This window comes from Homo sapiens, chromosome 1 (assembly GCF_000001405.40).
Source record: "Homo sapiens chromosome 1, GRCh38.p14 Primary Assembly".
Lineage (NCBI taxonomy): Eukaryota > Metazoa > Chordata > Mammalia > Primates > Hominidae > Homo > Homo sapiens.
The window spans coordinates 112,643,288-112,658,565 of record NC_000001.11 but is presented as its reverse complement, the minus strand read 5'-3'; the positions used below and the strand labels follow the sequence as shown (position 1 = coordinate 112,658,565).

Below are 15,278 nucleotides of genomic sequence, written 5' to 3'. Positions count from 1 at the left end.
GCAATGGAGAGACAGCAAAACATGACTAGAACTAATATTGTGGGAGAATAATCAATACTGGTATTCAAGATAAAACGAAGAAAAGCTGAAGCTTGGTTAGGAGGCCACAGGATTAATCTAGGCAACAAGTCAGAGTTATATTAATGGGAATGGAAAGGAAGAGTTGCACACAGAATGTAGAAGTACAATCAAAGTCTAGCAGTATATTGCAAATGATGGGCAAAGGAAAGAAGGAACTCAAGAGTGACTAAAAAGATGGTGGTGTCATTAACAAACTGGAAATTACAGATGGAGATGTCTAGTTAGTAGTTAGAAACACTAACTCTTCTTTAGTGTGGGAGAGGTGAATGGAAATGCAATCACCAAGGGAAAGTAAGAAAAAAAAAATAGCGCTTTATAGTCCACAAAATATGTTCTTACATGTATTTTCTTTTTCCTCTAATAAATCTGATGAAATACAGTGTTATCTACAGATAAGAAGTTGAAGTTCACAAAGCTTCTTGCCTAAGGTCACTCAGGAAGTGGTAAAGGTAGAATCCAAACCCACTGTTTTTGTGACACCGAAGTCTGTGTTACTTTACCTGCATTAAATGAATTATGAACTTTGGGGGAATGCCTACATTTACAAAGGTAGGGGAAAAAAAGAACTTAGTATAGAGTAAGAATAATTAGGGGGCTGGGTGCAATGGCTCAAGCCTGTAACCCCAGCACTTTGAGAGGCTGTGGCAGGGGGATTACCTGAGGTCAGGAGTTCAAGACCAGCCCGGCCAACATGGTGAAACCCCATCTCTACTAAAAATACAAAAATTAGCCAGGTGTGGTGGTGGGCACCTGTAATCCCAACTACTAGAGAGGCTGAGGCAGGAAAATCGCTTGAACCTGAGAGGCGGAGGTTGCAGTGAGCTGAGATCATGCCACTGTACGCCAGCCTGGGCAAAAAGAGCAAAACTCCATCTCTAAAAAAAAAAAAGAATTAGGGGTTGCTGACAGCAGCCTAAGTAAAAGATAATTTCTAGAAGTGGTTGATTGGCTTCAGTGTGAAATGCCATTCGGAAGTCATGGACAAGGAAAAGGACACTGGACCAGGTAACTCAGGAACCATTAGTAAACTCAGAGCAGTTTCTGTAGAATGGAGACTAAAGTAAAAAATTAAAGGGTTCAGAAGTAGATAGAGGAAATGGCATTAGCAGGCAAAGAATATGTACTGACGTGGTGGTGATGCAGAGAGAGATGAGAGAAGGGAAAAAGTGGAGAAGAGGGAGAAAGGGCAAGGTGGAAAGGGCAGACAAAGAAGGAGAAATAGGCCGGGCCTGGTGGCTCATGCCTTGTAGTCCCTACACACACACAACACACACAGAGAAAAATTAGATAGGTATGGTGGTGTGCACCTGTGGTCCTAGCTACTTGGGAAGCTGAGGCGAACGGATTACAAGGTCAGGAGTTCAAGACCAGCCTGGCCAACACAGTGAAACCCCGTCTCTACTAAAAATACAAAAATTAGCCAGGTGTGGTGGCAGGCGCCTGTAATTCCAGCTACTCAGGAGGCTGAGGCAGGAGAATCGCTTGAACCCAGGAAGGGGAGGTTGCAGTGAGCCGAGACCACACCATTGCACTCCAGCTTGGAAGACAGAGTGAGACTCTGTCTCAAAAAAAAAAAAAAAAAATTTCTGTCAGTTTCAATCCTTACAAAACATGGGGGATTAGATGCCTGTCAGAGGACAATGAAAAATGTTTGGAACATACTATGTAGAAAATGTGATAGGGAATAAGGAGATGAAATTACGGACTACTAAGCAGGTCAGCTGAAGACATAAGACATAGGATACTTATATACAGCAGACACCATCACAACAATTCCATGACTTTCTGTAGGTCATTTGATAGCTAAGGACACAGTAGGGTTATTTGGTGCTGGAGCTCTCCAAATTAAGAATGGGTAGTGACAAACTTTGAACAGGTAACAAACAATAAATTCAAAGTATATTTAGGATTAAACAGTCAATTTCTAAATGGGAGTCTATCATGTCTCCCCTTTGCAATACTGGCTTCCCAACAGGAATTCTATACTTGTCCAGTCCACCATAATGGGTATTCTCATTAAAAAAAAAAAAAAAAAAAAAAAAAATCAAACATAATGACACCTAGCCTAACATTCATCTAACATTTATGTAGAGCTTACTTTGTGCCAGGCACTGTTCCAGGCATATATTACATATATTACTAATTCATTAAATCTTCACAACAACTCTATGAGATAAAAACAATTATTTCCATTTTACAGTCAAAGAATTGAGGCACAGAGATGTTAAGTAATTTACCTAAGGTCACACAACTAATTAATTGGCAGGGCCAGGAATCAAACCAGTTAGTAAGGCTTCAAAGTAGGTGCTCTTAACTGTATTCTAGACTGCCATGTAATTCATCATCATTGTATATTTAAAATATTCTAGTGAAAATTGCTGATTTTCCCACAACAAAAAAATGATAAATATGTATAGAAATCCATGTTATTAGCTCAATATAGCCATTCCACAATGTATACATATTTCAAAATATCATGTTGTACATATCATATTTTTGTCAATTTAAAAATAAAAAATATTCTAATCAATATTTTTCTTAATATGCCATAATTTTATAAAGGAAAAATAATAAAGCCAAATTTATCTATTTTTACAGTCAAGAGGGAGTAAAAGAAAATTAGGCCAGGTGCAGCAGCTCACGCCTGTAATCCCAGCACTTTGGGAGTCCGAGGCAGCTGGATCACCTGATGTTAGGAGTTCGAGACCAGCCTGGCCAACATGGTGAAGCTCTGTCTCTACTAAAAATATAAAAATTAGCCAGGTGTGGTGGTGGGCACCCGTAATCCCAGCTACTCAGGAAGCTGAGGCAGGAGAATTGCTTGAACCCAGGAGATGGAGGTGACATTGAGCTGACACGGTGCCCCTGCATTCTAGCCTGGGTGACAGAGTAAGACTTAGTCTCAAAAAACAAAAGAACAACAACAACAACAGCAAAAACAACAACAAAAAGAAAATCACTCCTGATTAAAAAAAAATTGTTTGGTTTTTTTTGTTTTTTGTTTTTTTGAGACAGTGTCTCACTCTGTTGCCCAGGCTGGAATGCAGTGGTGTGGTCTCAGCTCACTGCAACCTCCACCTCCCTGGTTCAAGTGATTCTTGTGCCTCAGCCTCCTGAGTAGCTGAAACTACAGGTGTGCACCACCACATCCAGCTACTTTTTGTATTTTTTAAGTAAAGGTTTCACCATGTTGGCCAGGCTGGTCTCGAACTCCTGGCCTCAAGTGATCTGCCCACCTTGGCCTCCCAAAGTGCTGGGATTACAGGCATGAGCCACCATGTCCAGCCAATTGTTTAGTTCTAATAGTTTTGATTACTGAATATAAACATCTAAACTATGTAGAAGTAGTTTGTGTAAAAATGCCTATATCAAAAAGCCATAAATATGAGCAAAAGCTCTCTCAACAATCTTAGTATACCATTTTTTTCTCCATGTCCAAACCAAAGACCTTTTAGATCTGGGTAAAAATACAAACAAAAAAAAATTAATTTAAAAGGTTAATTTAAAAAAAAGAAAGAAAAAAAGAAAAACCAAAGACCTTTTTCTGATGGGTGTAAGGCATTTTTCATAAGTCAAATGTGAAAACAGAATACACTGATACCTAAATTTTTTGTGCATTGGGATTTTAAAAAGAAATTTTCCATATAAAAATTTCATTTATACCCCTTTCCAAAATGATTTAGGGAATAAAATGCAGAGGAGAAGAGAGCATGGCTAAGAAGAAAGTAGGGATGTTTGGTAGGCCAAAGCCTCCAAAGGATAAGGTAAATATAAGAAAACACTCTCTGATAACGAAGCAGTCAGATACTTAACAGTACAGAAGCCGTTGGAATAATGGTCTTTCACATAGGCTCTTAAAGCACTGTCACAGGATTCTCTCCAAGACTTCAGACCTCCATCTGCTTCTTCTGGCTGGGGGTCACTTGCTTCTTTCCGTAAGTGGTCAAATTTAAAGGAAATTTTGTTTCTTGGATCTAAAAATCTGCTATTACCCAGGTCACCGTGCTCTGTAATTAAGACCTTCCAAAGAATCATTAAACATATGAGTAACTGTAAAAAAGACAATTCTTACTGCCTTTTATGAAACACATCAATAAAAATTCTGAGGCAGTTAACTTTTCATTTAGTCAGATTTCTTTCATATTAATTTTTCAACCAAGTCCCGTATTATTAAGAATATTGTATTTATGAATAAGTCAACTTTAAACTACAAAATATCCCCCATACTAATAATATTCATTTCTTGGTTTCTAATATATACTTATACATAACTATATATGTACTTTATACATAGCTGTAATAACTTTTATGTACACTTTTGTATTTTTTTCACATATTTTTCCAGAGTCATTATGAAACTTTAGGGCCATTACACTTAGCATTTAAAATAGGTAATACATTCACATGGTTCAAAAATGAAAAAATACACAAAGTGAACTGTTTTCTCATCCCATTTCCCAACCACCAAAATCCTAAAGTAATAAATAAGTAGTCTAAATTTCAGGAGGAACGCCTCTGTTTTTCCATTAAATATAATGTCTGTTGTTACTCTTATCAAGGAGAATTAAAGACAGCTGGAAAACCTGTAAAACTTAAATACTTCCATTTTCACTGTTCTTGTTAAGAGGCTGCTCTCCTTTCTTGTCAAAGAAACTGCTAGTGTTATGAGAAAGAGAAGAATATCCTAACACGTACAGTACACACAAAAACTATAAAAACTAAGACAAATTTATTCAGCACCTGGTTCAGACATCTGCTTTGGTTTCCATTAATAGGATCTCTACTATCTGCCAGGCATAGCCTGTCTAAAAGGCAATTATTACCTGATCTTCATATCCTTCTATCTTCACAGGCGTGAACTGATCCATGTTATACTGGGCAAATGCACTGTTTTTTTTTAAAAGTTTTTTAAAAAAAAAAAAAAAAAGAGGGAGAGAGAAAAGAATTATGTGTAAATAAACACAAAAGGTGGTTCACAGAATAGTGAAAGGAAATGTGAAAATAGTACCCTGTACTTTTCCCTTCTCCCCAGACATCCAGTGTTAACATAATGCCTTCCAGCTTTCTGAAGGGACTCCTCTCTACGGAGATCTTGGAAGCTCCTTAAACTCTGAAATTACCTTTTCCTCTCTGCTCCTGAGCTCCAAAAGACCTTCTGCTTAGACAATTCCAAAGTTGGTTTGTTTTGAGATAGAGTCTCACTACGTTGCCAGGCTGGCCTCAAACTCCTGGGCTCAAGAGATCTTCCCATCTGTTTCCTGAGTAGCTGGGACTACAGGTGCACACCACCACACTCGGCTAATTCCAAAGTTTGAAGCAATCTAATTATTGTGAACTGCCAACAATTTTAATCATTTGGGCAGAAGCTTTCAGTAATTCAAAAGAATCCTCCATTGATACACTATTTTGGAAATGATCTTTTTTCTTGGCTCTCAAAGTCACGAGAAACTATAATTAAATGTCAGAAGGCATCTGACATGCGAAGAAGGTGAAGTGAGAGTTGAGCATGAGTCAAGTATAAAAGTAGAGCCTCAGGCACAAAGTAGTTATTTTTAAAAGAGGAATGCATAAATAATCAAAGTACATGCCTAATATTACTATTTGTCCAAAGCTTGATTTTTGAAATTCTGCATTTTTAATGGCTCTCTAATACATTTTACAAAGCTAAAGCAAAAGACAAGATAAAAGAAAGATGGAAATAAGAGCTACACTTATATTCTTAAAAAGTATCAGTCTTCTCACAGAATTCCCAATTTTAACCTATTAAAATAGACTGCTAGTTTTTTTTTTTCCCCATGTCAGACAGGTAATGTGCCAACATAACAAGGTTTGAGGGAGGCACATCTCACACATGCATGTGAAAACTCAACCATCACACTTATGAACTACAAAAGGATGGAGACCACTAGTTTTAAGCAGTGGTTAAAACTAGGCTTCTCAAGATAAAGCAAAGTAACAAACATTTAAACTTCTTCAAATATTTAAAGCTTTTTTTTTTTTTTTTTGAGATGGAGTTTAGCTCTTGTTGCCCAGGCTGGAGTGCAATGGTGTGATCTTGGCTCACCACAACCTCCACTTCCCGGGTTCAAGCGATTCTCCTGCCTCAGCCTCCAGAGTAGCTGGGATTACCATGTGCCACCATGCCCAGCTAATTTCTGTATATTTAGTAGAGACTGGGTTTCTCTATGTTGGTCAGGCTAGTCTCGAACTTCCAACCTCAGGTGATCCGCCCACCTCAGCCTCCCAAAGTGCTGGGATTACAGGCATGAACCACCGTGCCCAGCCTCTAAAGCTAATTTTCAATCTTATTTTGTTAAAAGTTGTTACTGTATACTTTGTGTATTTATTTTTTTGGGGGGTGGGGGTGATGCAGTCTCACTCTGTTGCCCAGGCTAGAGTGCTGTGGTACGATCTTGGCTTACCGCAACCTCTGCCTTCCGGATTCAAGTGATTCTCCTGCCTCAGCCTCCCAAGTAACTGGGATTACAGATGCGCACCACCACACCCAGCTAATTTCTGTATTTTCTTTAGAGATCGGGGGGAGTCTCACCATGTTGGCCAGGCTGGTCTCGAACTCCTGACCTCAGGTGATCCACCCACTTTGGCCTCCCAAAGTGCTGGGATTACAGGTGTGAGCCACCACACCCAGCCAAAAGTTATTACTGTGTTTTACTCCTTAAAACACCACATCCCCATGTAGCAAAATTAATCCCAAACACATTAGCTCTTCAGAAAGGATACAATTTATTCATAAAAAGTAGAATAAATGTTAGTTTAAAAAAAAACGAGTAGGAAGTAAATATTTTATTCTAGTATATGTCCTAAGACTATAGATTACCAACACCAACACCAAAATGTCCTTACCTTTAATTCCATCTCAAGTAAACAGCATCTCCATTTTACCAGCTGCCTAAGCCAAAAACTTGGGGTGATCTTTGATTCTTCTCTTTTTCTCACACTTCACATCCAGTCCATCAGTAAATCTTGTAGGCTCTACTTAAGTACATATTCAGAATCTGACTTCTTCCCACCACCCCCACTGCTACCACTCTAGTCCAACCAGTAGCATCTATCCCTGAACTATTCTCATTGTCTTGGAATTACTCATCTTACCTCAGCTTTTGCCCCTCTACACAGGAGCTAGTGATTATTCTAAAATATAAGTCTCATTATGTTATTCTCTACTCAAAACAATCTTACTTCCTATCTCTGTCAGAATGAAATTCACTCTTTAACATAACTTACAACACCCTATTTATTCCAGAAGCGCTGGAATTATCTGGGGATGGTTCTGGTGGCCAGAAACTGGTGGAAATCCAGGAAAGATGGTAAATCTTAGCTACTTCAAGCCCTTCATTTTATACAGACTGAAGGCAATAATTATGACAATGATTATGAAAACATTAATTGAGCAGTTACTATGAGGACTATGGCCAAGGGACTGAAATGCTTTAATACAGAAATAAAACTGAATTTTTCTTCTCTATGGAAAATCAAATATTTGGGTCCAGGAAAATTCTCTTAACAAGAGGGTTCCCCAAGAACCTATAGTCTATAAGAACCAGAATAGTTATAAATACAAAGCTTTAGTGTCAGTGCAATTAAAGAAAATGAAGTATCTGAACTACATACCAACTTCTCTTAATCTTAGCCAAAAGGCCGAGAAGCTACATACCAACTTCTCTTTGGTTCTATTGGAAAGAGGATAACAGGCTTTAGGTTGCAATGACACTTAGGTGATACTCAACATCCACCCCTTTCAGCTTATCAAGTGACGTACAGAGCATATTTACTGTGGGTAGTTCTCAAGGATAAAACTGGGACCAATATGGCAGGCAAATTGAAGAACTTGCCTTGTGAGATTGTGAATTCCTTATTATTAGAAGCATTCAGATTAGATAACTGTCTATTGACAGATGTTGATGAGATTCTTTCAGTGAAAGAAAGTAGAGAGGAGTTAAACTAGCAAATCATGAATGTCCTTTTCTATGGCAGATTCTATGAATCTAAGAGAAACCATCATTAGAGTATATCTCCGATGTGAGCCTAGCTTCCTTAAATCAATGTATAATTAGGGTATCATTCACGATGACAATTACAGTAAAGCTGTGCAAATTCTACGTTTGCAGAATCTAGTCCCAAAATGAGTTCCAAAAAAGCAGCATGGACAGGGCAGATTATTGTTTCCCAGGCAGCAGCTCTTACAACTGTTTTCTATGGCTAAAATCTAAACCAATTATATATCATACCCAATGACTTTATGATAATTATTTGTTGCTCTGCATCAACATGTCCTTGTCCTGTCTCCCCATCCCTACCCACTCTAGCCATTATCCAACTCTTTACAAAGGAACTCTGAGCCAGTTGGGTAGACAGCAACTGAAACAGAACTTTGTGTTGAAAAGTAGAGTAGTGATAAAGCCAGACAACAGGGAGCCTTGAAAGCTACAGCAAGTTTAGATTTTATTATAGAAGATATCAAAAAAAAAAAGAGGCACCACCGTAATATTTTTGAAGGCAAGGACACAATGAAAATATTTTAGAAAGATTAATTAGCTTCAGAGTGGTAAGGAGTCAATGACTAGGTAAGCTAATCATGCTTTTATCTTATGGTTAATTTTAACTATTAAGGCACTTTATTAATATTTGCTATTCTTAAACATTATCATTCCTCACTGGCAGATCATTCCTATGTATAGCTAGCTGTTTAAAAAAATTCAACACGAACTAGAACAACTATAAAGGAAAACCTAACAGCTAACATTAAACTCTGCTTTAATCGGGCAAATGTGGGCAGAAATAAAAACTAGTTCATATATTATAGTAAGCTTTGAGGAAGTAAACAACAATTGGGGGAACATGTTTTCTCCAATTAAAAAAAACAACGAAAATTGCTAAAACCAACTGCTTTACTTTGAAGTATTTTAAACTTTGTTTTCAGGGTGCTAGTTTACTGTCAACATAGTTTATCCAATGTTAGAGTAACATTCTAAGTGGATTTGGAAAGATACTTACTGTGCTGCCCCTTCCCTGAGGAGATTGTCATTATTAAGTAGTAGCCGAACGTCTGAGGAGGAAAAATGTTACAATGTTCAGTGGAGGATAAATTTGAGAAATTTTAGCAGATTTCTAGATTGAATTTTTAAATGTCAGGCTTTGTAAAATTAGTCTTCAGGTGTACTATATGAGTAGAAATTCTAAACATGCAAATAAAAAGATGCTAATGTTCACAGATTTGTGTACAATTATGTGTGCTATATAGTCTCAAGGAACTTTATAGCAAATGACAAACATGGTTTACAGAAAGCTACAGTTAAAGAGTGTTAATTCTGTATTTAAATGAATCCTTTAATATGAGCATAGATTAAGAATTGCAGGCGTTTCTACAACATCATATCAAGAAAGCTGGGCACAATTCAGTCAGTAAGAGTGAAATTCTTAACCTTGGAGAATCTAATGTGGGGTCTACAACCTTTTTAAAAAGCTGTGTATCAGAAGTCTAGTCACCTTTTTTTTTTTTTGAGACGAAGTCTCACTCCTGTCGCCTAGGCTGGAGTGCAATGGCGCAATCTTGGGTCATTCCAACCTCCGCTTCCCCAGTTCAAGAGATTCTCCGGCCTCAGCCTCCCGAGCAGCTGGGATTACACGCACCTGCCACCATGCTTGGCTAATTTTTGTATTTTTAGTAGAGACGGGGTTTCACCATGTTGGTCAGGCTGGTTTCGAACTCCTGACCTAAGGCGATCTGCTCACTTTGGCCTCCCAAAGTGTTGGGATTCCAGGTGTGAGCCACCACGCCTGGCCTGTTAGTTAAGAATTTATCTGAGCTAAAGTTCAAGAAGAATTTTCTACTGAAAATTGAAAATTTCGGGCAGGTGTGGTGGCTCACGCCTGTAATCCCAGCACTTTGGGAAGCTGAGGCAGGCGGATCATGAGGTCAAGAGATCGAGACCATCCTGGCCAACATGGTGAAACCCCATCTCTTCTAAAAATACAAAAAATTAGCGAAGTGTGGTGGTGAGCACCTGTAGTCCCAGCTACTTGGGAGGCAGGGGTTCCAGTGAGCCAAGATCACGCCACTGCACTCCAGACTGGCAACAAAGCAAGACTCCGTCAAAAAAAAAAAAAAAAAAAAAAGAAAAATTCAACAGGAAAATTTATTAAAAATGTTACTAAGAATTTACATTTAGTCAATGTAAAAGACTAGAAAAAGGCTGCATTTGTTTCCTTTGCTGTTGGTGCTCAAAATCCACAAACAATTTTAGAAAAAATATCTTGATTTACTTCTATTATATCTTATACTCCCTGAAGCAAATGTTTATGTTTCTCCTAGTTACTTTTTCCAATTTTAGCAATAAAGATTATTATTGACTGTTCTACCATCTGGGCCAGGTACAAAGGAATATCATACAGTTCCTCTCGAGTAGCTAACTTTCTAATATAAAATTAGAATCTCAAAATAAATGTTTGCTAAACTGAACCAAGATGCACAACAATTATTATTTTGCTTAAGGCATCTTTAAGACAAACTTAATAACTTAAAATGGGATTATGATTATTTATTTCACCATGAAGTTTAAGATGCTCCATCACATTTTCCATCTTGTAAAATGTATTAAGACAGCAGATAGTATGGAAAGTTGTAAATGTATTTAATTGTGGTTCCCCAACCTGCTGCGATTCAGAATCACCTGGTAAAGAACTTGATGAAATACAGATTAACCAGTTCCACCTCAGATCTAATGAATGTGAATCTTGAGGGGAAGATAAAGTTGAATCTGCATATTTAATAAGCTCCCCAGATATAGTCCGTTCAGCCCCACTGGCCCAAAAAAGTGTTCCATATCATGTGACTTCCTAAGTGAAAGCAATGAAGAAAATTAAGCTATGATCTATAACGATAAAAATAAAACTATGAAAATAATTTAGTATTGTTTCTACATTTATTGATACTAATCTGCATTAAATCTTTTCTCACATAAGATAGGCATCCTAATTTATGGGTTAGGAGCTTTATTTTCACTCAGACCTGGGTTTGAATTCTTGCTTTGACATTTACTAACTGGGGGACCTTGGACAAGTTATTTCAATTTTTTTGAATCTTGATTTACTTAGCTATGGCTACAACAAGTCGTAAGAATTAAAACAGACAGCAAGTACTCAATAAATAATGGTAATTAAGGAGGGATTAAAATACTAATCTTTACTCACCATTGAATACTTCATTAAATTCCCCTGGGGGTGCATGAGTGATGAATTTAGCAGCTATGCGTACCTAAAGAGAAACAAAATTTACACTTAGGAGAATTATGAAGAGTAACATATAAAAGGAGAAATAATTAACAAATTATAAATTTTCATCATATCCCTTGAAAAAAATGTTCTGTTTAAACATTTACTGTTTAGGAGTCTTCAAATTTTCTTTTCATAAAGCACCCCAAAGCTGTTACTATCAATATAGGTACATTCTGATTTGGGAATATACGTGTTTTGATAAATCTGAATTCGTCTTTCAAAAACAGGATAATAGTTTTTGACCAAATACATTACATTCACAAAAAGAGAAAGCTATGATCTTGATTATGAACATTTAAGCAAAACTAAATAAAATATTAGCAAATTAAATAGTATACCAATACCAATTCTCCCAATACAAGGACGGTTCAATATAATAAGTTACTGTAACTTACAAATTAAAAGACCAAAACCATGTGATCATCTCAACTCATGCTGAAAAAAAAAAAAAAATTAACACCTACTCCAATATCATAAAAAACCAAAACTATTAATTTTTGGTAGATATAAAATAAACACCTTTAATTTAATAAAGGACTACCTACCAAAATTCTACAACAACCTTAATAATGAAACATAAGCAATGTCACTAACTTTATTAATTTATTTATTTTGAGATAGGGTCTTGGCTGTTGTCCAGGCTGGAGTGCAGTGGCATGATCAAGGCTTACTGCAGCCTCAAATTCCTGGGCTCAAGCGCTCTTCCTGCCTCAGCCTCCTGAGTAGCTGGGGCCACAGGCATGTGCCACCACACCTAACTTCGTAATTTTTATTTTTGTAGAGACAGGTCTCATCATGCCCAGGCTGGTCTCAAACTCCTAGGTTCAGGTGATCCTCTGGCCTCGGCCTCCCAAAGTGTTGGGATTATTGGTGTGAGCCACCGTGCCTGCCCTAAGTCATCAACTTTAAACACAAGGCAAAGATGACTCCTATCACCTCTACTATTCACCACTGTATTAGAGGGCACAAGGAATGCTATGGAAAATATTTCTCCTGTTATTCAACCTAGCCTCTGTCCTCTGCCCCCTGTTGCCATTCTCCCTTTCTGGATATACTATTATAAATGGATGATAAAATGTTAGGTTCTAATCCGCTTATCTCATTGTTTTCCTCTATATTTTATCTTTTTTGTCATTTTATGATTTGTCTGGGGAAAATGCTCTACTCCAATCCATTAATATGCTCTTCGTCTGTGCCCATTTTCCTGCTCCATTTTTTTTTTTTAAGAGACAGGGTCTCGCTATGTTGTTGCCCAGACTGGAGTACTGTGGTGTGATCATAGCTCACTGCAGCCTCCAACTCCTGACCTCAGGAATCTTTCCGCATCAGCCTCCTGAGTAGCTGGGACTACAGGCACTCATCAACAGGCCCAGCATAACAATTATTTTGACTGTTCAATTTTTAATTTCCAAGATTTTTGGTAATTCCTTTTGTCTTTTTTTTTTTTTTTTTTGCACTGGCAAGTATGTAGAGCAAAGCAATTTATTTTAGTGTGTATACAATATCTTTATGAGGACACTAACTACTTATTTAATTTTTGTAGTTATTTTTTCTCAGAGACAGGGTCTCACTTGGTTGCTCAGGCTAGAGTGCAGTGGTGTGATCCTAGTTCACTGTAACCTCAAACTCCTGGGTTCAAGTGATCCTCCTGCCTCAAGCTCTCAAGTAGCTAAGACTACAGGTGTGCCTCACCATGCCTGGCTAATTTTTAAAAAATTTTAATTTTCTGCAGAGAGAGGGTCTCACTATATTGCCCAGGCTGGTCTCAAACTCCTGGCCTCAAGTGATCCTCCCACCTCAGCCTCCCAAAGCATTGAGATTACAGGTGTGAGCCACTGTGCCCAGTATAACTACCGATTTTAAAGTCTTGTTCTACTGATTGTTTCCTAAAAATTTAGATCCTATCCTCATTGAATTTGATTCTTCCCCTTCATGGTATTGGTTTTCCATAAATGGTGCTCTGACTTTAATTTAGTTTGCCTATTGTTTGCTGGTAGCTTGCCTCTAGTGACTACAGGGGAGGGAAAGAGTAGATTTGCTTCTGCTCATCAGGGTATGTGAGCAGTTTATCTTCTGAGTGAGCCTAAGGTCCACAGGCTATGTGGGACACCACTCTGCATCTATGGTCCCAGTGCTCATACTCAGTGCTATATTCTGAGGACAAATGCTGTTTTTGTCTTCAGCTTAGCCCAAAGAGGAGAGAAGGGAGGAGCTAAGTGGTCCAACTAGCCAGAGAGCAATTCTCCAGTTAATCTACTCTAAGACTGTTCTGGATCCTTTCCTTCTTGATTCTTAAACTGATGTAAGATCCTCCAGAATGGCTCCTATCTATTTGGCATTTGGCAATACCAATATATAGATATTTGGCAGTATCTATACATAGTAATAATGCTAGTAATGATAATAAATAGGACTCACCACAAATGGGTCTCTCAGTATAGTTCTAACATACTATGAGAGAAAGGATGAAAATTCCCTAATATTTGATGTAATAATGAGTATGAAGATGATTCAACTCCCTAAGGTAGGGCAAAGAAGAACATGGTATATCTAACAATAAACTGAGCCTTATTTCTAGCTAGTTATCCTCTGTTGACTTATTTCCTTCAAACAATTTTAAGTTTATTGATGACCCCATCAAACTATTCTTCAGCAGAAAAAAAAATACGTTCAAGAGTCTCTTGAATACAAAGCTGGGGCCAGGTGCAGTGGCTCATGACTGTAAAATCCCAGCACTTTGGGAGGCTGAGGTGGGTGGATCACTTGAGGTCAGGACTTCAAGACCAGTCTGGCCAACATGGCAAAACCCCATCTCTACCAAAAATACAAGAATTAGCTGGGTGTGGTGGTGGGTACCTGTAATCCCAGCTACTTGGGAAGCTGAGGCAGGAGAATCACCTCAACCCGGAAGGTGGAGGTTGCAGTGAACCAAGATTGCACCATTGCACTCCAGCCTGGGCAACTGTGGGAGACTCTGTCTCAAAAAAAAAAAAAAAAAAAAAAAAGCTGGGAGAAGAGAATTAGAAAAAAAAACCCAGCAATTTGGGTTGGGTGTGGTAGATCACGCCTGTAATCCCAGCACTTTGGGAGGCTGAGGCAGGTGGATCATTTGAGGTCAGGAGTTCGAGACCAACCTGGCCAACATGGTGAAACCCTGTCTCTACTAAAAATACAAAACTTAGCCGGGCATGGTGGCACACACCTGTAATCCCAGCTACTTGAGAGGCTGAGGCAGGAGAATCTCTTGAACCCAGGAGGCAGAGTTTGCAGTGAGCCGAGATCCCGCCACTGCAATCCAGCTTGGGCGACAGAGTGAGACTGTCTCAAAAAAGAAAATAAACAAAACAGAAATACTTTACAACTTTAGTATTCCTAGGCTTATACAGATAATCTTACTGTAAGTTCACTCTTATTCTGAAAAGGACAAAGAAAAGCTGCTCTGTGATGAAACCGTTAGTCAAGAAAGGCCTAGTGATTGATGGAGCAAGGTAGAATGGAAAATTTGGGTTCCAATAACTGTCTCTGTTGGTCCATTAGCTAACTAGATTTGTGATTCTAGAAACATTACTAACTTTTTTCGGTCCTGAGTTTTCTCATGATAATCCATCTCCTCATAGAGTCATATTAGAAGATCTGCAAAATTTCTTTTAGCTACAAATCCTACACATTTTTTAAGACTTGGAAGACAAAAGTTGGTATGTGGACTACCTGGAAACAGGCATCAGGAATTCACGCCACAAAAATACATGTTAGAATATTCTTAGGTACATAAAGTTTTAGAACCCTGCCTTGACAGGGTAATTACAGATAGTGTATTATTTTTTCTGGGATGAAAACTGGTGGAGAGGAAATGCTCCATAAGGCTCCTTATATTAACTGAGCAAAAACAATAAAAAGAGAGA

The 15,278-nt window shown here is 38.1% G+C and overlaps 1 protein-coding gene and 1 non-coding gene across 4 annotated transcripts in view; both read right to left on the bottom strand.

Moving 5' to 3' along the window:
* The window catches only part of CAPZA1 (capping actin protein of muscle Z-line subunit alpha 1), a 51,785-nt gene that overhangs the window by 13,051 nt on the left and 23,456 nt on the right, over positions 1-15,278 (bottom strand). For all 3 annotated transcript variants that reach the window (XM_017002424.3, NM_006135.3, XM_011542225.4), the window contains exons 2-5: positions 11,293-11,356; positions 9,097-9,148; positions 4,905-4,968; positions 3,895-4,101 (exon numbers count right to left, since the gene is read on the bottom strand). In XM_017002424.3, coding sequence (XP_016857913.1) covers positions 3,895-4,101; positions 4,905-4,968; positions 9,097-9,148; positions 11,293-11,356 — 387 coding nt within the window. The remainder of the gene's footprint in view (positions 1-3,894; positions 4,102-4,904; positions 4,969-9,096; positions 9,149-11,292; positions 11,357-15,278) is intronic.
* Positions 5,878-5,978, bottom strand: LOC124904810 (small nucleolar RNA U13). The gene has a single exon (XR_007067406.1). It is a non-coding gene; the product is annotated as a small nucleolar RNA U13 (small nucleolar RNA).